This window comes from Homo sapiens, chromosome 10 (genome assembly GCF_000001405.40).
Source record: "Homo sapiens chromosome 10, GRCh38.p14 Primary Assembly".
NCBI classification, from domain to species: domain Eukaryota; kingdom Metazoa; phylum Chordata; class Mammalia; order Primates; family Hominidae; genus Homo; species Homo sapiens.
Window position 1 is genome coordinate 65868902 of NC_000010.11, and position 25989 is coordinate 65894890.

At 37.1% G+C, this 25989-nt stretch overlaps 1 long non-coding RNA gene across 2 annotated transcripts in view; it reads right to left on the reverse strand.

Moving 5' to 3' along the window:
* Positions 1–22603, reverse strand: part of LOC105378339 (uncharacterized) — a 145924-nt gene extending 123321 nt beyond the window's left edge. For both annotated transcript variants that reach the window (XR_001747476.2, XR_946023.4), the window contains exon 1: positions 22404–22603. This is a non-coding gene — a long non-coding RNA (uncharacterized LOC105378339). The remainder of the gene's footprint in view (positions 1–22403) is intronic.
* Between the last annotated feature and the right edge of the window lie 3386 nt (positions 22604–25989).

The following is a 25989-nucleotide window of genomic DNA, read 5'->3' on the forward strand; positions in this document are numbered from 1 at the left end:
CCCAGGAGCAGTTGCTATCTTTTTTTTTTTTTTTTTTTTTTTTTTTTTTTTTTTTTTTGAGACGGACTTTCGCTCTTGTTGCCCAGGCTGGAGTGCAACGGCGTGATCTCGGCTCACTGCAACCTGCAGAGTTGGGTTCAAGCTATTCTGCTGCCTCAGCCTCCCGAGTAGATGGGATTACAGACATGCGCCATCACACCCGGCTAATTTTGTATTTTTAGTAGAGACGGGGTTTCTCCATGTTGGTCAGGCTGGTTTCCAACTCCCGACCTCTGGTGATAAACCCGCTATTTTTTTTTTTTTTTTTTTGCCCCCGAAGCTCATTTCAGTTTGATTACCAAATCCTCATAAAAAGGAGCAAAGCATGTATCTATGAATAATTCTTTAAAAATCCACTTGGGAACTTTTCAAAAAAAAACACAGTTCACTAAAATTCCAACATAAAAAAACACAAAGTCCCTTCTGCAAATTTTCATAATTAACCTTATGCTTCCAACTAATAGCAACTTTGTAAATTTTTATGACAGGGAAGATCAGAAGTTTTTCTTTTTAGACTATTTTTAACAAAGCTGTTTGTATAATTTTGCAGTTGAACATGCTTTTTAGATGTGACAATTCTTACACTTAGAATGAATGCCATTTTATTAAAGCATGTGAATTTACAAAATTTGGTATTGGCCTCAACATTTTCCCACATTTGAGAGTCTTTCCTAAGGGAAGACTGACAAAAATTGAAAACGGTTAAAAATGTTTATTTTATTTTTTTTTTAAGGCTTCCATTACATTAATTTGAGGGCTTATGTTAGGGTGAGACAAAAGGAGACAAAGGTGAGAATAAGGGGCAATTAGTGCTGACAGCCTTTTGGAGGATGCAGAGCCCTCTGGCCTCACACAACACAACAGAGGCCTGGAAAAGGGACCAGGCAATTGTGGCATGGGATTATGTATTTCTAGTCTTCTTTATTTGCAAACATAAGTGAGACAGAGGGAGATCTTTGCAGCCATTTATATATGAAATGCTGAGGCTGCTGAGAGCAAGGACAAAGCATTAGACCTCATGCTTGTGGGGTTGCTTCAGGGTTTAGTATTTCACAATCATGTCAAGCCAGGGCTCTGCCTGGAATGTGTGTTTTATAATGATGGGTTCAAGAGCTAGCAGGATAAATAGCTAATGCATGGGGGCTTAATATCTAGGTGATGGGTTGATAGGTGCAGCAAACCACCATGGCACACGTTTACCTATGCAACAAACCTGCATGTCTTGCACGTGTATCCCAGACCTTAAAATTAAATTAGATTAAATTAAAAATGAAGAAAAAAAAAAGACCATGGATATGAAGGCGAGGTAGTGGCTGACATGACTTGTTCATTTGTGTTGTCGCATCACATTAACTTTTTTAACATTAATAAACTTTTATTTGAGAATAGTCTTAGATACACAGAGAAGTTGCAAGAATGTTCCCATATGCCTGCACTTAGTTTCCCCTAGAGTTAAGATTGCTTTAGTGCATATGTCATACAAATGAACAAATATTCAACATTATTATTACCTGAAGTCCATATTTCATTGTGATTTCTGTGCTATTTATCTAATGTTCTTTTTTTTTTTTTTTTTTTTTTTTTTTTTTGAGAGAGTCTCTCTCTGTCTCCCAGGCTGAAATGCAATGGCACAATCTCAGCTCACTGCAACCTCCACCTCCTTGGTTCAAGGGATTCTCCTGCCTCAGCCTCCCATGTAGCTGTGGTAACAGGTGTCCACCACCGCACTCGGCTAATTTTTATATTTTTAGTAGAGACGGGGTTTGGCCATGTTGGCCAGGCTGGTTTCGAACTCCTGACCTCAAGTGATCCGCCTGCCTTGACCTCCCAAAGTGCTAGGATTACAAGCGTGAGCTACCACGCCTGGCCAACCTAACGTCCTTTTTATGTTGCAGGATTCTATTCAAGATATCACGTCACATATATTTGTCATGTGTCTTTAGGCTTCTCTAGACTCAGAATTTCTCAGCGTTCAATTGTTTTTATGACCTTGATAGTTTTAAGGAGTGTTGGTCAGCTATTTTGACAAATGTCAATCAGTTTGATTTGTGTGATGATTTTCTTATAGTTAGACAAAAATTATGTGTCTTAGGAAGGCCACAGAGGTAAAATGTTATTTGCATCACATCATGTCAAGGGTACATGCTATCAATATGAATTATTACTGGTATGTTAACCTTGTTCACTTGGTGGAGGTAGTATTTGTCCATTTTCTCTACCCTAATGTTACTCATTTTTTTTCCTCTTTTCATATTGTAGTCACTAGAAGAAAATCACTATGTGAATCCCACACTTCAGGAGTGGAGAGTTACATTTTACCTCCTTGAAACTGAAGAATCTACATCAAATTTTTCTGTATGGGAGACTTGTCTATTCTCTCTTATTTATTTATTTATTTAATCCTTCATGTATAGCAGTATGAACTCACAGATATTTATTTTATACTTTGTTATAATACAATACTATGTTACTTATTTTGTTGCTCAAATTCTTCCAGCTTCAGCTATTAGGGTCTCTTACACTTGGCTCCTATGCCCCATTGACTGACCCCCATAATTTCATTTTTTTGAGCACTTTCTTACTTCATGGCACTTTAAGGTACTCCATGCTCATTTTGTTTATTTCCCACCTCACGCCAGCCCTAGAATCAATCATTTCTCTGAGGAGATTGGGTTCCTTTTATTGGAGAAGGTATTAGAAAAGAAGATATGGGTGAAGGGTGTGTTTGTTGTGACTAGTGTGTCATTGCTTCTAGTCCCTCTCAGAGGACAGAAAAAGAAAATATATAGTTACATATGAGCCTGTGTGTACACATGTATTTATGAATTTTTTATATGTTTTCAACTGTATATATAAAAAAGCTGACCTTGTGTTCATGCTGATGTCTCCAACTCTAATCCATTATCATGTTTCATTCTAGCCTTCAGCCCTTGCTTGTCTGTCACCTTCCACTCCAATATGACTGTCACCATTCACCATCCATTTACTTAAATTCCAGAATACATGTGTGATTTCAGAGCTGTTAACCTATATCCCCATGGTCAGAGTACTTTATCAACTAGAGTACAGTGCTTATGCTCAGTTCCTTTCATCTTTCATTTTACAGTTTCTACTTATTTCCAAAGTTACTGAGATCAGAACCTTTTTCACTAACTCCCCTCTGTGAGGTGATGCCGTGTGTTTGTAATACAGTTCGATTCTCCCATTACAGTGTGCATTCCATAAATCTCCTAACTTATTGTTTCAAATTTGCATACATTAGCACTCATTCTTTATGATGTAATGTTCTATGTGTTTTGACAAATTCAAAGTATAATTTTGTGCACCACTACAATGGCATACAGAATAATTTCACAACCCTATAAAATTTCCTGTACTTCCCCAATTCCACCCTCCCCCAACCCTCAATTCCTGGCAACCACAGACTTGTTTCCTATCTCTACAGTTTTCCTATTTCCAGCATGTCACATGAATGAAATCATAAAGTATATAGCCTTTCCAGATTGGTTTCTTTCACTTAGCAGCATATATTAAAATTCACGGCTGAGGATGGTGGCTCATGTCTATAATCCCAGCACTTTGAGAGGCCGAGATGGCAGGATCCTTTGAGCCCAGGAGTTTGAGACCAGACTGGGCTACATAGTGAGACTCTGTCTCTATGAAAAAAAATAAATAAATAAGAAGTAGGCCAGGTGTGATGGCTCACGCCTGTAATCCCAGCACTTCAGGAGGCCAAGACGGGAGGATCACCTGAGGTCAGGAGTTCGAGACCAGCCTGACCAACATGGAGAAACCCCATCTCTACGAAAAATACAAAATTAGCCGGGCATGGCAGTGCATTCCTGTACTCCCAGCTACTTGGGAGGCTGAGGCAGGAGAATCACTTGAACCCGGGAGGTGGAGGTGGTGATGAGCCAAGATGGTCCCATTGCACTCCAGCCTGGGCAACAAGAGAGAAACTCCTTCTCAAACAAAACAAAACAAAACAAAACAAAACAAAACAAAAATTGCATTGTTCTGTGGATTGAAAGCTCTTTTCATCATGGGATAATATTCCATTGTATAGAAGTGCCACACTTTGTTTACAAATTCACCTATTGAAGGACATTATTGTTGCTTCCATGTTTTTGCAAGCACAAACAAAGTTGCTAAAAGTATTTACGTGCAGCTTTTTGTGTGAATGAACATAAATTTTCTATTCAGGTGGATAGATACCTAGGAGTGAAATATTTAATCATATGGTAATACTGTTTTTATCTTTGTAAGAAAATGTCAAAATCTCATACAAAGTGTCTGTACCATTTTTCATTCCCACTAGCAATAAAGGAGAGTTTTGGTTGCTCTGCATCCTAGACAGCAGTTGGTATTGTCATAGGTTTGGATTTTAGCATTCTGATAGGTTTGTGGTTATATTCAGTGATGTTTTAATTTGCATATCTATAATAACATATAGTATTGAACATCTTTCATATGATCATTTGCCATCTGTGTATCTTTCTTGTTGAGGTGTCTATTCAGATCTTTGTACCCATTTACTAACTGGGTTGTTTGTTTTCTTAGAGTTGAGTGTTAACAGTTCTTTGTACATTCTAGATGCAAGTATTCTATCAAGCGTGTATTTTGAAAATACTTTCCATTTGTAGCTTGTCTTTTCATTCCCTTAGCAGTGTATTTTGCAAAGCAAATTTAATTTTTATTTTTTAAAAATTTAAAGTTTAACCTATCAATTTTTTCTTTCATGGACTATGTTTTAGGTGTTGTACCAGTAACATCTTCAAACTCCAGTTCATGCAAATTTTCTCCTAGATTTTCATCTAGAGGTTTTATAGTTTTGCATTTCACATTTAGGTTTCTGATTCATTTCAAGTGAAGTTTTGTGTTAGGATGTAAGGTCTCTGTTCTGGTTCATTGTTTTATATACATAGGCCAATTTCAATTTTTGAAAAGATCTTTTTTACATGCACCTATTTTTTTTGTGCCTATGTCAACAATTAGTTGACAATATTTATGAGTGTGTTTCTGTTCCATTGATCAACATGTCTGTTCTTTTGCCAATATAATGCTGGCTTTAAGATATTTATAGTGGATTTAAGATAAATTTTGAAGTCAGGTAATGTGAACTTTTCAATTTTCTTCTTTTTTAGAATTATATTGGCTAGTCTAAGAGCTGTACCTGAATATATACATTCTAGAATCAGTTTGGCAATATCTAGAAAATAACTTGCTGGAATTTGAATTTGGATTTATTTGAGTCTGCAAAGTTGAGAGACATTGACGGATTTTTTCCTCTAGGGAATTACTTCCCACTGGAGACTAACCTTTTTTCTTTTCTCTTTTTTTGAAGGACATGTCTAGGCCAGTTTCAAGAGTGGTATTCTTTGCTCCACCAACATCCATTTCCCCCACTTACCCCAGACAGAACCATGACGGAATCAAATCCTTACCATGAAACATGCGGGATTCCCGGAATTAAAGCTTATACACATGTGTACCGGGAAGTCCCTTATGACTTTAGCACACAGCTCTTTCTCAGTCTTAACATAGTTTACATCCAGCTTCCAGTAATTCACCAAAATAATTTTTTAAGTGTTTCTATCATCTTAAGGATTTCAGCAGCTTTTTCTCCAACTAAGCAATTTTCATTAGCTGTGTTTCTCTAGATTACTTGTCTCTCCAGATTTGGGGCAGCAATCTCTGTTCTCTGATGAATTCCAGAAACGTTGTTGATTTTCAGTTTGTCCAGTTTTTTTCTCCCTTAAAGGATGATAGAGATGACTTCAAAGCTCTTTACATACTGGAGCTGAAACCAGAAGCCCCATTATGTTAACTTTTGCCTATCTCCACCTTAAAATGGTTTAACACATGCGCGTACCTTCCCCCACCACCAAAATAATGCTATTCAAGATACAGCCATTTTCTATTTTATAGAATTTCTAATTTGTAGTGATGTTCTCTATCAACTTTAATAATCATAGTATTGGTGACAGTAAAGTGAAACTAAGTAAAATATCCTTGTTTTTCTATGGAATGAATGAAAATACAGATAAAGCAGCTGACTTATGTGAGATCATACAGCCAGAATATAGCAGAAATAAGTAATTATTTCAGAAGACCGAAATGCCACTTTTTCAAACATGGGGAAAAAAACTAGCTTATTATTAAAATTATCTTCGTTCTATCATGTCATATAAATTCTAATTCCTTTTTACAAAAATAAATACAAACTGAAATCATAATTTTCCTAGGTCTTACAATGAACAAGTACCATTACTTGATAGTCATATCCCACACATAATAAGGTGGCTTTTTAAAAGTTTATTTTGCAGTTACTGCACCAACTGAAACATAATAGTGTAGGTTAAATATTTAGGGGGCTAAGGGAGATAATCACCGTTGGTTTATAGTGGCAGAAATTCATTCATTATTTAAACTGTTTACTTTTCCCTGATTCTGAATTGCTGTGGATTGTCCTCTGGTGTCTAGATGTAGATTGCAGGATGAAATACTGAGGTTTAAATTCAGATCTTGGCAATGTTTGTAGAGAAAATTGAATCCACATCACATTCGGAAGTTCAAGCCCCCGAGTGCCTGGATATCACAGCTTTTGTATAGAATTGGGGAATAAGCAATCTTGTTTATGGTCCTAATTTATCATGGCAATGCTTTGGCGCAATTGTAAGAGATCTTCCAGTTAGCACTTCACCCAGAATAGTAAAAGTTCTTCTACACTTTGAAGTAAATGGTACCATTTGACATTTCTTTTAGTATTTTTGCTCTAGTCCAGTGTTCGCATCAGGTTAGCATAACTTCTAAACTTATAGAGGGGCTACCTCAGACAGTTCAGAAGTACCATATATCAGTATCAAGTTCAAGGTGTAAGCTCCAGGTCTGGCTATGATTGTATCCTAGTGCACCACTCAGTGCCTGGCACATAGTCTGAATGTAATATATATTTTTTTGAATTATTGGGCACAGCAGACATCATCTAAAAACCTCATTTTATCTCATTTCTAGCACGAAGTTCATGAATAGTTTTTAAATATCTTTAGGTAAAGTCTTTGTTCCACGAAGATAGAATGTAAGCTATAGTCCTAGTCTTCTAGATATTTACACTCAGATTAGAGCATAAGACTTAGAATGGAAAAAAAAATTATTTATTATTATTATTATTTTTGAGACGGAGTCTCACTCTGTCACCCAGGCTGGAGTGCAGTGGTGCAATCTTGGCTCACTGCAACCTCTGCCTCCCGGGTTCAAGCTATTCTCCTGCCTCAGCCTCCCAAGGAGCCGGGATTACAGGTGCATGCCACCACACCTGGCTAATTTATGTATTTGTAGTAGAGGCGGGGTCTTGCCATGTTGGCTAGGCAGGTCTCGAACGCTTGACCTCAGGTGTTCTGCCTGCCTTGGCCTCCGAAAGTGCTGGGACAACAGGTATGAGCCACTGCGTCCAGCTGGATGGAAGAAAAATATACACAGAAAAAAATGAGACACTGAGACACTGATGCAAATACTTGGAAGAATATAGTAAGCATCATAACGTATACGTATGTATGATATGTGATTTAAAGTAATGGCAGATAGAGGATGATAATGATCTGGCCAGGCGCAGTGGCTCATGCCTGTAATCCCAACACTTTGGGAGGCCAAGGTGGGTGGATCACCCAAAGTCAGGAGTTCGAGACCAGCCTGGCGGACATGGTGAAACCCAGTCTCTACTAAAAATAGAAAAATTAACTGGGTGTGGTGGCACATGCCTGTAATCCCAGCTACACGGGAAGCTGTGGCAGGAGAATTGCTTGAACCCAGAAGGCAAAAGTTGCAGTGAGCTGAGAACACACCACTGCACTCTAGCTTGGGCGACAGAGCAAGACTCCATCTCAAAAATAAATAAATAAAATAAATTAAAGAGGTAGATTTTACCTGCATCATAAATAATATGTGAAAATACTACTTTAAAATATCATAATAATCAGTTTTAAGCTTCCTTGTCAACTACCTTTTTCTATTGCATACGTCCTGAGCATTAAAGCCTCAAAAGTAATTATTACTATAGGAGAAAGACAAAGAATCAATATCCGTATTAGACTTTCAAAAGAAGATGCATAAAACACAAGTCCATTTCAGAGACTAAAGTTGAGAAAGCCAAGGATTATGTAGAGGAAATTTTGTTATGGTTGTTTTTATGTTTTTGTTTTGTCGCTGTTGTTTTATAGCTCAAAAGGCAAAATTCCAAAGGAAAATGCTAATCGGTAAGCAAGAGACTGAATAGAGGAAAAGAGATGAGGAAGAACTCCCAGGAAAGCATTAAGATTGCCCTGGTGCAGTGAAATGGAGGGGGTCTGATAGACGTGCTGGAGTGGAACATGGAGAAGTAGAGAGCATCTGTGAACCACCCAGCCACCGCCTGAGTGAATAGCATCTGTGCCGAGCACCAGGAATAGGCACGAGAGCCAAGCCATTGCTCTAGGACAAACTGAGCTCACTGGGAACCCTAGCAGGAATCTCTGCGGAAGAGGTTTACTATCATCTGCCATTCTCATTACTGTTCAAAGAAGGTATTCTATACACAATTTTGTTAGTACTTATCATTTCAATTTCAGTAACCTTTCCCTGTACCAAGAGCTTTGTAAGCCAGTCTGGACTCTCCTGTGTGGTGATTTTGCTTAAATAGGGAACTGAGTGCAAGATACCCAGAGGGAGAAATTGTGGTTAAAAAGGAAAAGAGTGGCCTATCAACTCTGTCACCTCTGCTTTACCACTTAATCAGTTATGTTCATTATTCTGAATAAGCTTTAATTTTCTGTTAGGTTAAATTAGTTAAACCATTCCCATCCTCAGATGGGACAATGAGAAAAACCATCTCCAATGTGTAGCTATACAATCTCTACGTATCATAACAATATGATACGCTGAGAAAAACTGAGTATCTTCTCTCCACTTCTTCCTGTCCACTCAAAATTTAAAAACGTGTAAGGGTTCAAGAGTTCCACTAGATAGTATATTAATATGATGGCATTAGTAGCATGATTTACTGATATTTTGAAGAATATATATTAATATAGGTTTCATTAACAATAAATAAGTTATTGTATACTTAATAACTTAGCAAAGTGTTTGTCATTTAGTATCAATTAATGCTAATTACAACTCCTCTCCCATTTCCCAACAAAGACATGGAGAGGAAATAAGCCAATGCAATAAAGGAAATCCTAATCAAAGGTTAGGTTATTTGGGAAAGAGAAAGAGCAGGTGTCAAAAGATTTCCCTCCTTAGCAAAATTGGTGCACCTGCAATGAAACCAATCTTTTTATTTGGACCTTCTTCATAATCTACACTGGGCCAGACTGACTGGGCTGCCATGCATTAACTGTAGAAACAGATGAAACAAATAAATTGTGTGTATCACGGTCTGTTTGTTTCATATGCTTAGGAATCAGCTACTCTTCCAGAGAACAATGCATCTCAAATTAAAAAAATGTTATGTTTTAAGTGGAATTCATCTCAGAAGTGCCATTTCCCCAATGGCACATCCTAAACAGGTGGCACTCATTTTCCATTACCCTTCAGAACTCACCAAAAACATCATAACATTTCAATTGAGCTGTAGTTGAGAATAAATGTCCATTTTATTATCTCTTTAAGCATTAGTGGATGAGCAAGGAGCGGAAAATTTAACTGTCTGCTCTTTTCTTTTTATAGCCTCTGACAGAAGCAGAACCCCAACCAACTGATGGACAGTGGCACAAAGGGGCACTAAAGTTATATTAGGAATGTTTGCATCTTATTATTCAGGCTCCATCTCGAGCAGATGGCTCAGCGTCTTCAAAGGGGATTTAGAGCATTGCAGAGCAGGATGGCAGTGCAGCAGCCCAGGTAAAGGAAGATCTGTGAGAAGTCCAAGTCACACAAGATCTGTGAAGAACAAAAGTCTACTCAAGTGTTATTCATAATTATTTAATGTGCTTGGCTAAAGTAATGGTTCTATCATTGGGATTGTCCTAGAGAGTCATGCATAACATACACAACTTAAAGATGAATTATAACTCCATCTCTACTGAAAAGAAAATACGAAAATTAGCTGGATGTGGGGGCGGGCTTCTGTAATCCCAGCTACTTTGGAGGCTGAGACAGGAGAATTGCTTGAACCCAGGAGGCAGAGGTTGCAGTGAGCCAAGACCGTGCCATTGCACTGCAGCCCGGGCAAGAAGAGCGGAACTCAGTCTCAAAAAAAAAAAAAAGAATTAGATGACAATATTTTTTTTTTTTTTAGACAAATCCTTGCTCTGTCACCAGGCTGGAGTGCAGTGGCACGATCTTAGCTCACTGCAACCTCCGCCTCCTGGGTTCAAGCGATTCCCCTGCCTCAGCCTCCCAAGTAGGTGGGACTACAGGTGTGTACCACCATACCTGGCTAATTTTTTGTATTTTAGTAGAGACAGGGTTTCACCATGTTGGCCAAGATGGTCTCGATCTCCTGACCTCGTGATCCACCTGCCTCAGCCTCCCAAAGTGTTGGGATTACAGGCGTGAGCCACCACACCTGGCTAGATAACAATCTTTAACCTACTGCATGGGTGACAGATGCCTTTGCCGGAGTCTAGTACACTCAATAATGGTTCAGAGGCAGTGGTAGTAGTAATGGGAGCAGACTGGGGAAAATCCAGACATCGTTTTTCTCATCACCACTTCCCATTAATAAAAAAAATTAAAAAAGAAAACCCTGGCATCTGGCCAGGCCCCTTATTCTGAAGAATTATGCTCAGTTATAGGCCTTTAACAGAAGTAGATTGGCTGCTAAAATTTGAAAAAGTCTCAAGCCCAATTTAAGACATTTGGAGTTTATCTTAGAGGAATGTCCTTTAAAAATATTACAATCCTGAACATTTACTATATTCTACTACTACGGAAGCCTGTCACCTCTGTGGGTTCTGTTTTAGCACTTATTGGTTATGATCACTATACACTGGATATGTTTCTGTTTTTTCATCTATATGTGAAAGATTAAAAATAGTACAACTCCTATTGTGATTGCTACTGCTAAATGGTTTTGTTCACATAAAGTACTTCGCAGAGTGACAGACCTATAAAAATGCTATTGTTATTATTATTACTAGCTATTAAAAACATTCTATGCTTCTACAAAAGATGTCTTTTTAACAGTCAGTTAATTTTATTCCTGGTGTCAGAGTCCTAACTAAAGTTAGCCAGTCATTTATGAATGTTGTGTTGTCCCTGTGGATATTTTAAAAATTAATATGCTAATTCTAATTTGTGTATTTTTAAGATTCTATGTGTTTTTCCAATATGGTTAGAGTTTTATAATGCAAAGTTGCAATTGTACTCTATGGCTTAGTAAAGCCTCCAAGGATATCAGAGCGATGTGTGTGTATGTTTGTGTGCATGTGATAGTTTTTATGTCCAATGTAGAATTTTAAATGTATCTCTCCCAGGAGAGGATAAAAATAAATGAAAACACAACCATAGTTAGTAGACTTGGCTAAAGAGAGATATGGCCAGAAATGGAGTTTTGTGATCTGCCCTTCCCAATGCAGGCCATCATGGAGTATACAAACCAATTTTATTCCACTGGGGAAGACCTGAAGCAACTTTGTGAAAGATGCCACCTATGAACCCCATGTATGGTGTGAATCAAAGCAAAGCCTCAGGGTGACCTAACTACCCTCCTTCCCTCTTTCATCTTATAGGTATGCTCTCCGCAAAGATAGGAGTACCTGTGCAAAGAGATGCAAAGAGAGGAGTATGGCTCTCAGGAAAAAAGGAGATTGAAAGTAGGGGGAAATATTTACCTTCAGCATTATACAGCAAAGGAAACACTGTGTAAGAGACCCACTGGTAGCTAGGAAAAAGGAGCCATCTATTCACTCACTGTGTTTTGATGGCCTATTTCTTGCTAATGTCTCCAGTTTCTAGTGGATGCAATGTATGGCAATTTCCATTCTAAAGTGTTAATAGTGCTTTGAAATGTATTCAGACTTATATGAAATTGAGACAAAGTGTTTCCTTTGTTCATCTCCTCTTCTTTCTCTTCCTTCTCATCCACATATTTAACTTAGGTTCTAATTCACTAAATCTAACTCAATTTCTGCTCTTCAAATCAGAGCAGAGTCAGGGAAGTGTCTGGAGTGAAATATTCATCATAGAAATAAAACAATGTTTAATTTATTTTATATTTTATGTCATCAAAGGTGCTTTCAATAGATGTTACTTTTTGTATTCAAAAATTACATATTAAACTGCACATATTTAATAACTAATAACTATATTTTTATGTAGGATATAGTGTGATATTTTGATACATGTATACAATGTATACAGATCAAATCAGAGTAATTAGCAAATCCATCACCTCAGACACTTACTATTTCTTTGTGTTGAGAATGTTAAAAATCCTTTCTTCCAGGTATTTGAAAATATACAATAAATTGTTATCTAGTCACACTTCAGTCTATAGAACACTAGAAATTATTCTTTCTATCTGGATGTAATTTTGTATTTGTTAACCTCTCCGGATTTCTATCCCTTTCTCAGCTTTTAGTAACTACTTTTTGTTTGTTTGTTTGTTTGTTTGTTTGTTTGTTTTGAAATGGAGTCTCACTCTGTCGCCCAGCCTGGAGTGCAGTGGCACGATCTCGGCTCAGGGTAACCTCTGCCTTCCGGGTTCAAGCAATTCTCCTGCCTCAGCCTCCCGAGTAGCAGGGATTACAGGTGCCTGCCACCAAGCCCAGCTAATTTTTGTATTTTTAGTAGAGATGGGGTTTCGCCATGTTGGCCAGGCTGATCTCGAACTCCTGACCTCAGGTGATCCACCCACCTCAGCCTCCCAAAGTGCTGGGATTACAGGCGTGAGCCACTCTGCCCAGCCAGCTTTTAGTAACTGCTATTTTCTCTATTAATACTTCTATGAGATCAATTTTTTTACCTTCCACATATGAGTGAAAACATGCAGTATTTCTCTTTCGTTTCAGGGTTATTTCAGTTAACATAATGTTCTCTAAGTTTATGCATGTTGCTGCAAATGACAGAATTTCCTTCTGTTTACGGCTAAATAGTAATCATTGTGTATGTATACCACATTTTCTTTAACTGTGTGTCTGCTGATGAACACTTAAAGTGATTCCATATCTTGGCTATTGTGAATAGTGCTTCAGTAGTCACAGGAGTACAGATATCTCTTTAACATACTGATTTTCTTTCCTTTGAATATATAACCTGTAGTGGGATTGATGGATCATGTCGTAGTCATTCAATTTTTAGTTTTTTGAGGAACCTCCATACCATTTTTCATAATGGTTGTACTAATTTACATTCCCACCAACAGTGTGTAAGATTTCCCTTTCTCAGCATCCCTGCCGGCATTTGTTCTTCTTAATTTTTTGGATAATAGATTCATCCTATCTGGGGTGAGATGATATCTCATTGTGGTTTTCATTTGCATTTCCCTGACGATTAGTGATTTAAGCATTTTTTCAGATGCCTTTTGCTCATTTGTATGTCTTCTTTTGAGAGATCTCTATTCAAATCATTTGCCCATTTTTAAATTGAATTATTTAATCATTTTTGCTGCTGGGTTACTTGATTTACTTGTATATTCTGGAGAGTAATCCTCTATCAGATAGATAATTTGCAAATATTTCCTCCTATTCCATAGATTATCTCTTCTCTCTTTTCGTTGTTTCTTTGGCTGCTCAAAAGCTTTTTAGTTTGATAAAGTCACAAATATTTTTGCTGCTCCTGTCTTTGTTATTGAAGTCTTATTTAAAAAATCCTTGCCCGCACCAATGTCCTGACATATTTCCCCTATATTTTCTTCTAGTAGTTTTATAGTTTTGGATATTGCTTTTGGTGTTTAATCCATTTTGAAATAATATTTGTGTGTGGCGAGAGATAGGGATCTAGTTTCATTCTCCTGCATATGGATATCCAGCTTTCCCAACAACATTTATTAAGGAGACTCTTCTTTCCCCAATGTGTGTTCTTGGTAACCTTGTTGAAAATCAGCTGGCTATAAATTTGTGGATTTACTTCTGAGTTCTTTATTCTGTTTCAGGGTTCTATGTGTCTACTTTGTTGCCAATATCACACTGTTTGGTTACTATAGCTGTGTAGTATATTTACAAGTCAGGTGGCATGACACCATCAGCTCTGCTTTTTGTGCTTAGGGTTACTCTGGTATATTCAGGGTCTTTTGTAGTCCTATATGAATTTTAGGATTGTTTTTTTCTATTCCTGTGGAAAATGTCATTGGTATTTTGATAGAGATTGCATTGAATCTGCAGATTGCATGGACATTTTCATAATATAATTCTGTCAATCTATCAACAAGGGATATCTTTTCATTTTTTTGTCTCCTCAATTTCTTTCACCAACGTTTTATAGTTTTCATTGTAGAGATTTTTCAACGCTCTTGTCAAGTGACTCTTAGGTATTTTTTGTAGTTACTGTAAATGGGATTGCTTTCTTGATTTTTTTTTTTTAGGTTGTCCACTATTAGTTTTTAGAAATGCTACCAGTTTTGGTATGTTGATTTGGTATCCAGCAACTTTACTGAATTTGGTTGTTAGTTCTAAGAGATTTTGGTGAAGTATACATTTTTCTGTATTTAAGGTCATTTGTTTCTGTAAACAGGAATAATTTTACTTCTCCGTTTCTATTTGGATGCCCTTTATTTCTTTCTCTTGCCTATTTGCTCTGGATAGAATTTCTGATACTATGATGAGAGTGGTGAGAGTGGGCATCCTTGTCTTCTAGTTCTCACAGGAAAAGCTTTCAGCTTCTCACTGTTCAGTATGATGTTTGCTGTGGGTTTGTCATTTATGGTCTTTATTATGTTAAGGTGCACTCCATTTATGCCTACTTTGTAGAGAGTTTTTGTCATGAAGGAGTGTTGAATTTTATCAAATGTTCTTTCTGTATCTATTTAAATGACTATAAAACTGTTGCCCTTCATTCTGTTTGTTGATTTGCATATGTTAAACTATCCTTACATCCCAGGGATAAACCCCAGTTGATCGTGCTATATAATTTTTTGGATGTGCTGTTGGATTTGGTTTGCTAGTACTTTGTTGAGAATTTTAGCATCTGTGTTTATCTGGCATACTGAACTGTGGTTCTATTTTTTGGTTGTGTTCTTGCCTGGTTTTGGTATCAGTGTAACGCTGGTCTTATTAGAATAAGTTTAGATTCCCTGCCCTTCAAATCTTTAAAATAGTTTGAGGAAAATTGGGATTAGGTCTCTTTTTAACATTTGGTAGAATTCGGCAGTCAAACAATTTGGTCCTGGTCTTTCTTTGTTGCTAGACTTTTTCTTACTGATTCAATCTCATTGCATGTTAATAGCCTGTTCAGCTTTCCTGTTTCTTCTTTGTTATCTATTGGTAGGTTGCATGTGTCCAGAAATGTATCTACTTCCTCTGGATTTTCAATTTGTTGGTGTATAGTTGTTAATAACAGTCTCTAAAAATCCTTTGTATTTCTGTGGTGTCAGTTCTAATGTCTCCTTTTTTGTTTCTGATTTTATTTATTTGCATTTTTTCTCTTTTTCTCTTAATCTAGCTAATGACTTTTTAAAATTGTGTTTAACTTTTCAAAAAACCAACTTTTTATTTTGTTAATTGTTGTGGGGTTGTTTGGGTCTCAATTTCATTTATTTCTGCTCTGATCATCATTATTTCTTTCCTTCTGTTAATATTGGCTTTAATTTGTTATTGTTTTTCCTAGTTTCTAGAGGTGCAACATTGGGCTGTTTACTTGAACTCTTTTTACTTTTTTAATATAGCGATGTTTTGCTAAAAACTTCCCTCTGAACACTGTTTTTGCTTTATCCCAAATGTTTTGGCATGTTGTGTGTGTCTCTATTTTCATTTGTTTCAAGTAATGTTAAAATTTTTTTTGTTTTTTTTTTTTGTTTGTTTGCTTTTTTCTGTCGCCCAGGCTGGAGTACAGTGGTGCCATCTCGGCTCACTGCAACCTCCACCTCCCGAGTTCAAGTGATTCTTCTGCCTCAGCCTCCCAAGTAGCTGGGATTACAGGTGCCTGCCACCACACCTGGCTGATTTTTGTATTTTTAGTAGAGATGGGGTTTCATCATGTTAGCTAGGCCTGTCTCAAACTCCTGACCTCAGGTAATCCACCCGCCTCTGCCTCCCAAAGTGCTGGGATTACAGGCATGAGCCACCGCGCCCGGCCTAAAATTGTTTTTAAAATTTATTCACTGATACATTGGCAATTCACGAGCATGTTGTTTAATTTCCAAGTATTTGTACAGTTTCCAAAGTTCTTTTTATGGATTTCTAGGTTAAGTCAAAAAAGACACTTGATATTTTTACTGTTTAAAATGTGTCGAGACTTGTTTTGTGGCCTAACATATATGGTTATTCTGAGGAATATTCCATGTTCTAATGAGAAGAATGTATATTCTGTAGTTATTGCATGAAATGTTCTATAAATATTTGTTAGGTCCAAACATTAAAGTCTTTTTTATAGCATATAGCTTTAAGTCAAAATCTATAAAAAGGTCATTATATAATATTAAAGGGATTGATTTGGCAAGAGGATATAAAGACTTAAAGTCTTTTCTATATGGTATTTAAAGTTGAAATCCGATGTTTCTTTGTTAATTTTTTTTTGCCTAGATAGTTTGTCCCATGTTGAGAGTGGGGCAACAAAAAGTCTCAACTATTACTGTATTGGAGTTTGTCTCTCTCTACATAGTTAATAATATTTGCTGTATGTATCTGGGTGCTCTACTTTTGGATGCATGTACATTTATGATTGTTATATCCTCTTGCTGAATTGATCCCTTTAATATTATATAATGACCTTTTTGTCTCTTGTGAAAGGAAAATAAATCTTGGCATTCTTGGGGCCCCAAAATCACTAAGCTAAAGGAAAAAGTCAAGTTGGGAACTGCTTAGGGCAAACCTGTCTCCCATCCTATTCAAAGTCATCCCTCTGCGCACTGAGATAAATGCATATCTGATTGCCTCCTTTGGAAAAGCTAATCAGAAACTCAAAAGAATGTAGCCTTTTGTCTCTCACCTACCTGTGTGACCTGAAAGCCCCCTCTCTGCTTGAGTTGTCCTGCCTTTCTGGAAGGAACCAACGTACGTCTTACATATATTGATTGATGTCTCATGTCTCCCTAAAATGTATGAAACCCAGCTGTGCCCTACCTTGGGCACATGTCATCAGGACCTCCTGAGGTTGTGTCATGGGCACACATCCTCACACTTGGCAAAATAAACTTTTGTTTTGTTTTGAGATGGAATCTCACTCTGTTTCCCAGGCTGAAGTGCAGTGGTGTGATCTCAGCTCACTGCAGTCTCTACCTCCCAGGTTCAAATGACTCTCCTACCTCAGCTGCCTGAGTAGCTGGGATTACAGGCCCCTGCCATCACACCCAGCTAATTTTTGTATTTTTGTAGAGACAGGGTTTCAGCCTGTAGGACAGGCTGGTCTGGAACTCCTGACCTCGGGTGATCCACCTGCCTCAGCCTCCCAAAGTGCTGGGATTACAGGTGTGAGCCACAACGCCCAGCCAGCAAAATAAACTTTCTAAATTAACTGAGACCTGTCTCAGATTTTCAGGATTCACACTCTTTTCATAGATTTTGACTTAACGTCTTTTTTGCAAGGTATAAATATAGCTCCTCCTGCCTGCTTTTGGTTTGTTTGTGTGGAGTATTTTTCTCTATCCTTTCACTTTCAGTTTATGTGTGTCTTGACACCTGAAGTGAATTTCTTGTAGGCAGCATATGGTTGGATCTTTTTTTAAAAAAACCTATTATCTAGTCTATATCTTTTAATTTGGAATTTTAATCTGCTTACAGTTAAGGTAATTACTGATAGATGAGTACTTACTCCTGTCATTTTGTTAACTGTTTTCTGGTTGTTTTGTACATTCTTTGTTCATTTCTTCCCCTCTCATTGCTTATCTTTGTTATTTGGTGATTTTCTGTAGTGATAAGGTTTGATTTCTTTCTCTTTCTCATATTTGTACCTGCTTTACCAGTGTATAGTTTCATGTTTTCATGATGATAGTTATTGTCCTTTAGCTTCCAGATGCAGGACTCCCTTAAGCATTTCTTGTAAGAAAGTCTAGTGATGATGAATTTCCTTAGTTTTAATTTTTCCAAGAATAACATTATTTCTCCTTATATCGTAAGGGTAGCTTTGCTGAGTGTAGTATTCTTGGCTAGCAGTTTTATTTTTTTCTTTCAGCACTCTGAATACATCATCCCGTTCTCTCCTGGCCTTCAAGTTTTATGCTGAGAAATTTGCTATTAATCTAAATTGGATTCCCTTATATATGACATGATACTTTTTCATAGTGTTTTTGTAATTATTTTTGCCTTTGACTTTTGACAGTTTGACTATAATATGTCCTGGAGAGAACCTTTTTGTGTTGAATCTATTTAGAGTTTTTGAGCTTCCTGGTCTAGATGTCCATATCTCTATCAAGACCTGAAAAGTTTTTAGCCATTATTTCATTACATATATTTCCTATGCCTTTCCCTAACTCTTCCTCTTGTAAAATTCCCATAATGTGAAAATTATTTGCTTTATGGTGTCCCAAAAATCTTTTACACTTTCTTCATCCTTTTTTATTCTTTTAAAAAATTTTTGTCATCTAAGTGATTTCAAAAGACCTGTCTTCAAGTTTAGAAAATGTTTCTACTGCTTTGTCTAGTTTTCTGTTGAACAAAAATACTTGACTGTATTTTTATTTCATACATTAAATTCATAGACTGTAAAATTTCTGTGTTTTTGTTGTTGTTGTTGTTGCTAACAATATATACCTCTTAGTTGAAGTTCTCATTCAGACTATAAATTGTTTTCCTGGATTTGTTGAATTGTCTATCTATATTCTTTTGAATCTTGCTTAGTTTCCTGAAGATCATTATTTTGAATTCATTTTCTGGCATTACACAAATTTTCTGTTCTTTGGGGTCATGTACTTGAAAATTATGTTTCTTTGGAGGTGTTCTATTTCCCTGCTTTTTCATGTTTCTTGTATTCCTGCATTTTTATTTGCACATGTGGTAGAACAGTAATTTCTCCTAATTTTATAGAGTAACTTTTGTACAGAAAAACTTGTTCCTGAAGATGGGTCTTAGAATGTCAAGTGGGTAGGATGTGTTGGCTTTGGTTCTGTGTGAACACAGTGGTGTAGTCTCTGCCTAGTTTCTTCAGCTGTAATTCATGCTAGCAATGTTTGTGAGTGTCTTGTTGGCTTAAGCTGCATGAGTTTTTGGTTGCAGTGGTGTGGCTTTTTAAGGGATGGGTTCACCAAGCTGGTTATCAAGCCAGTGAATGTATGTGCACACAATGGATTGTCCAACTGGAGGACTGGCTCACTGAGGGCTGGGCTGTCAGGCTGTTTTTCAGGTCAGGGTGTAAACACATAGTGGCTCTGTGGCTCAGGGATTGGTCTAACAGGGGCAGGTCCACTGGGCTTTTTTTCCAGCTGGGGTGGGTTCATTGCAGCTTGGAAGTTCAAGAGTGACTCTATTCAGGGTGGGTCTGTCAGTCTAATTATCCAACCAGGGTCACAAGCATGCAGTGGCTCAGCCAAAATAATGGTGAGCTTGTTGGAGGTAATTCACCTGACTGTTTCTTTAACTAGGTGCACAAGCATGTGGTGGTTTGATCAGCCCAGAGTTGGCTTCCTCACTGCAGAATGGGAATCACAGTTGTTCTGGTCCCAGACTGTGAGTAGCCAGTGTTGTGGTTTTGAAGCCATCTATGTAAGCCTGGTGGAATAATGGAAGAGCCTCAAGGCTAGAGGTCAGTGACTACTGGCTCCCATAGAAGGGCACACTCCAGCAGTGTCTCTGGTGTTAAGATGGCAATGTGCTGCAGCACCTCGGGCCATGAGAGATGAGGAGTGCACAATTCCAGGCAGTGTGAATTCCAGGCAGCTCCCCAAAGTGGACTCAGGATTTGCGAGGACTGTGGGATTCTTAAGTAGTAAGAACTGCAGGTGCCCTTTTATGGCAATGTGGACTGGTAAGGGCCTTCTTCTTACCTTTCTCTTCAAGGGGAAGCTCCTCATGGCCTTTAACCCTGAGGATGGGGTGGCAGAGGCAGGGAGCCTTGCTCTCCTTCTATACTACCATCCTGGGCTTTTATGCTCCACAGTGATTTTACCAGTTTCTTGTTGGACTCCCCCACTCTCCCTCAGATATTCCATTCAGATTTTAGTTGTTCATTTGTTGTTTTGGACAACACCTTTTTGTGTGGGAGTGAGCACTAGGCACATTTAGATGCCATCATGGTGATTCCACTTCTAATATTGGATAGATGTGACTTTTAATCTACACAGAATCTGTGAGTAGCCTTTACTGCAGACTTTTAGCAAAACCTAATAGAAATTCACCCTATTCATCCATTAATAGAAAAACTATATTTTACCCTAAAGCTCAGCTTCTGAGGTAGAATAACACCTCTGAAGATGTAATCACTAAATATCTTTAGTAAGTGAAACAATTTACTTACTCTTTGGTTCACTAATTTATCTAAATTGCATGATTGCTTATATATTTGGGAAGTGATTTTATATATTTCTGCTACCCTCTTTCTGTAATACCATAACTTTGAACCTGAAAAGTCATATTGTTACTCTACCCTCCAGCTCCACATAGATTTTTAAGCATCGTAACTGGGTACCATAAGTATTCTTGTAAATTATAATCATCTGGTTGGGGGCGGTAGCTCATGCCTGTAATCCCAGTACTTTGAAAGGCCGAAGCAGGTGGATTGCTTGAGGTCAGGAGATCAAGACCAGCCTGGACGACATGGCAAAACCGGTCTCTACTAAACATACAAAAAAAATTAGCCAGGCGTGGTGGCGCATGCCTTTAATACTAGCTACTCAGGGGACTGAGGCAGGAGAATTGCTCGAACCTGGTAGGCAGAGGTTGTAGTGGGCTGAGATCTGCCATTGTACTCCAGCTTGGACAATAAAGCGAGACTCCGTCTCAAAAAAAAAAATTATGATAATCTACACTTACAATAAGAGCTTCACCCATATATCTTTGGAAATATGTAAGTGGAAACCTATATATGATAAACAACAATATGAAAGAAAAACTCATGAGGTCATATGGCCATGAGTTTTCTTATGTTTTCTGATCTTCAATATATAAGGATTTAATCATTGAGTTTTTATATGATATGACTCACTGCCCATTCAAATGAAGCACTAATAGCCACTAGAAAATCTGAGATGCTTCTGGCCAGCACTTTGTGGGGAAACTGTGAATTTAATACCTTCATCATGCTGGAACTAACAGGCAAATCAATTCCATCTTTTTGTACAGAAGCCAGCTGTATCTATTATTGAATAGGGTATTCAATGATCCCACTTAAGATGGTATTTTTTTAAAAAGGAAAAGGTAAAAGAGATGTCAAGGGAAAAATATGGGTTTGGAAGTAGAACCCTTTTTTGTTGTTAATTTGAATTTCCTATCACCAAATTTTATGACCTCAATTCCATTATGAAAATCCATTTTGAATAGATTCAGTAATTTTGGAAAATTAAAGTTCAACCATAACCAGATTTAATAATTCATTTGATTCAGGTCTTAAATATTTTAATTATTCATTAAGTTCAAAAAATCCTTGCAATGATCTCACCTATATGTGGAATCCAAAAAAGTAAAACTCACTGAAGCAGAGAGTAAAATGGTGGTTACCAGAGGCCAGAGTTTGGGGAATTGGGGTAATGTTGTCCAAAAGATACAAAATTTCAGTTAAACAGGAGGAAAAACATTCAAGAGATCTATCGTATATAATGGTAATTGTAATTAACAACAGTATATTATATACTTGAAAATTGCTAAGAGAGTCGATTTTAAGTGTTTTCAGCCAAAAGAGAGAAGTATGCAAGATAATACATATGTTAATTAACTTGCTTTAGCCATTTCACAATGTATATATCAAAACATTATGTTGTATACCATAAATATATATAATTTTTATTTCTTAATTAAGGAAATAAGATAAATTAAAATTGTTAAAAATCCATGCCATTAAATATATTACAAAATATAAATTCAACAACTCTCTGCCAAAACTATTTTTTTAAAAACTGCATCCTCCACTACCTCTACTGCCCATTCCCCCACTTCACACCTGCTCATTACCTACTCCTTCCCCACACCCAGTAGATCCTACATTCTGCCAAGTTTGTAATCAGACTCTTTTCGAGCTGATAAATATCAGGATTATAGTTTATTTCCTAAAGAGGAATTTACTCTCAAACAGACAGAGAGCTTTGCATATTTACTTTTTCCATAAGGTAAACAATTCTAGGAAAGTTTCTTAATGATGTCTCTTACCTTATTTTATGTTCTGCGATGATATCTTTGTGTTTTTTTTCTTTCTGGAAGTTTGTGGCAGTCAAGTTGCACATTTATGTTTGATAAAACAAACACCATAAAAATTATACTGTCAGGGGAACACTGACTACCACTTGTACCGGCTGAGCTTCCCCATGCTCAACCTGAGTGGTTTTAACACAGCCTGATTGAGAATAGCTGAGTCATTATGGAGTTCTTTGCTTTTGTCATCACTTGATTTACTGATGCTCTGGGTCTCTGTGATCAAGAGCTAAATCACTTCCCTTTTCTCTGATAACTTAGTGTAGTCAAGATGTTCATAATTAATGAATATACTTTTGAAAACTGTAAGTTCATCATTTAATGCTGTAGTAGTTGCTGGAGGTAAAAGTGCTAATCTTGTTGGAAAAATAGACATATGAACAGATAATTTCAATATTTGAAAAGCAAATTTGAGATGCTATGGGTGAAGGAAGGTGTACTTTCACTGGCTATTTTAGTCCTGAGGGTGACCCAGGTGGCTTTAACATTCCCCTCTGTTTGACTCAACTTTGACAGGTTTCTTCCTGACTCTAAGCCCCTGAGCTACCTTTTCTTAGATACTTTACTTTAGAAAACAGGCACCTTTAAGCCCTTTCTCAGTCCCTTTAAAATATTAATCTTCTCATAGCCTCTTGCTAGTTTTATGACCCAGGAATGCCTATCTCAAGGGCCTGGGGTTCATCCCTTTGAAACGTATTCATCAAGAAGGACAGAGCCCCTATCTCCCAGTCTCTGTGGGAGGGTAGAAGTTTAACTTTGATAAATACCAATTAGCAAATATAAATGGCCTCATCACCTCCACTACCTCACCCTAGCGCTTAAGAACTTTCCCACCTCTTGTTTCAGAGGATGTTACATTCTCTCTTATTGCAATCATCTTGAATACAGTCTTTCCTGCCTGTTTAATTGGTTTGATGCAATTTTTCTTCAACAAGAGTCACCAAATATAAGATTATAGAATAATGTTTAGAAACTAGTAGGAACAGAATAAATAAGCGCATTATTATGGTTCCAAGAATTCAGCAGTTTCTAGGGGCTGGATTATGGCCTCCTGCCTTTCTGGGAAGGGCACAAAGCACTGCTGATTACTGTTATAGCCAATCTACTCTGCCTAGCAACTATCCACAGCATGAAAGAATTCTCTAATATGACAAGGAAAGAGATTGCTTTAACCTTCACCTAGATTTTCCCTTAATAGTCTCTGTCCACGCTTGTTCAATTCCTCCACCAAGGCCAGTTGTATAACTCTCCCTCCCTCTTTCAAGCCACTTTTGCTTCTTCCTTCTATAAACCCCAATAGCATTTTTAAAAAACGTTTTTGAGCAATCTATTAAGAAAGTTTGCATTTTATTATATAGGCTTTATTTAAAAATGTATTTTCTCCAGGCACCACAACCCAACTCTTTTTAATTTTTTAATTTTTAAAAAATTAGTTAATTTTTAGTCCTGCTCAGTTTCCCACCCAACCCTTAGTATCCCTTTACACTGGCACTTTCTAAACAGAACAGAATATAAACATTTTCAAGATTTGGGCATACAGGTCTTTTATGGGGAAAAAATTGTAGGACATGATTGCTGAAAGGCAGTCTTAGACCATTTATTGGGTTTTAGACCCTCTCTGCCTCAGGGAGTCTCTATTTTGATTCCTCTTGCCAACACAACACCAGCCCCAGAAGAATATTGGTGTCCTTTTCTTTCTTTCCTCGTATGGGCAAAAATGAAATACTACTACTTCTTTATCCCTCATCAAATGAGAAACATTGTATAATATTATATATGCTACCTGAAACACCAAATGAGAAATTGATAACAGCAATGACAAAATTTTAAACAGGATACACTTTGCACATGTTGTATTTGAAATTCAATAACATTTATAAGACATTTAGAAATGGATTCTTTCATTGAAGCCAAAATACTCTAGAACTCTTTCTCATCTCCTAATAACAGCACTGAGAACCTTCCATTGAACTTTGGGGCTTTGAGGAATTCGATTTGAAAACTACTGACCTAAAAGACTAAAGTCACAGTAGTTACCAAACTTCAGGGTGTATAAAATCAGTGGGAATCACTTGAAAATAAACATTCTGCTGCAGGGTATCTATAGACCAATATAGGAGGGAAATACTCAGCCAGATCTTAAAAATCAGGCCTAGTATTTCAAGAAAAATCTTGAGAAATCTTATTTTAAAAATTTATGGCTCAGCTTATCCTTCTGTTGGGGAAAAAAAGTTTTAAAGTTAATATTTGACCAGATGAAAGAAAATGTAGACAGCTGCAAAAATCACTAATTAGTTAAATTAGACTCTTCAAATGGTTAGTGAGTTCAACTTTAACTCTGCCAAATAGCGCCTGTTTCTCTTTATGAGTTCCAGGGAACTTACAGAACTATATTTTCTAATATTAAAAGAATTACTTTGAAAATATAATTAAGACATCTAAAGAAGAAAAAAAGCATTCTTTATTCTTCTTCCTGCCTCCTTTACTGTGCCTTACAAAAAAATATTGTTGACAGTTGGCTTGCCATCTGTTCCAGCAGGGCAAAAGTGTAAAAGTTGGTGATATTTTTCAATGAAAGCAGTCTGAAAATAACACATTATTTTCAGAAAATACGTCTGTTAATGTCTCATTAAAACATTAACCAACAAAGCAGCCAGTTTGAAAAGAATCCTCAAGATCGAGAAGGCATGTTTTTTACTTCCCAAGTTATCCAAAATTGTATTTTTCAGGTTAAAGCTCCTTTAATTTTAAATATATCATTGGGCAATGGGGAGGGATAATGGAGTGAGGAACAGCCTAACTTTCCAATTCTACATTGCTGACTTCATAGGCCAAGACCAAACTGGTCATTATTATTATGATGACAACACAGTGACAGCAGCAAGCTATAGTGGGATAAGTTCTTTGAGCTACTAAATGAGAAAATAGCAAATATATTGCAATTCCTTCCAAGTCTTTATGTAGCTAGCAGCTAGCATCATTTGTTTTAAGCCACCTGAAAAAAAAAATGATATAGTGAATCCACAAGACTCAACTTTCTAAATCTCTGTTTTCTCATCAGCACAATAGGAATAACCACGTGCACTTTTCTCTTCTTGGCAAACTGTGTTTCCATTCTTCTGAGAAGAGAGAGCCCCAAGAGCCCAGTGCATCAGCCTGACTGGTCAATCCAGTAGACTTTGATGAAAGTGCTTCTTACCTTCAGTCCTCGTATATGCTGCCAGGAGATCCACAACAAAAGTCATGTGATAGGACTTTGCTCAACTGGCAAAGCATGTCAGGATGGAACTTATTCAAATACGTAACAGTGAAATAGACACTGAGAAGACTCTCAAAAGATATTATTATGTGGCCCATCTCACCAATTTCTTCCCATAATTAACCGTTAATTCTGCATTTTTAGTTATTTAAGATAATGTTAGTATCAGGTTATTGACATGGTAGGACTTTGAGAAAAAAATTTATTCTTACTCCCAAGCTATCCCAGACTGATGCATTTGTCTAATTTTTCATGTCGTTGTATAACTTCTCCAGTAATCATTTT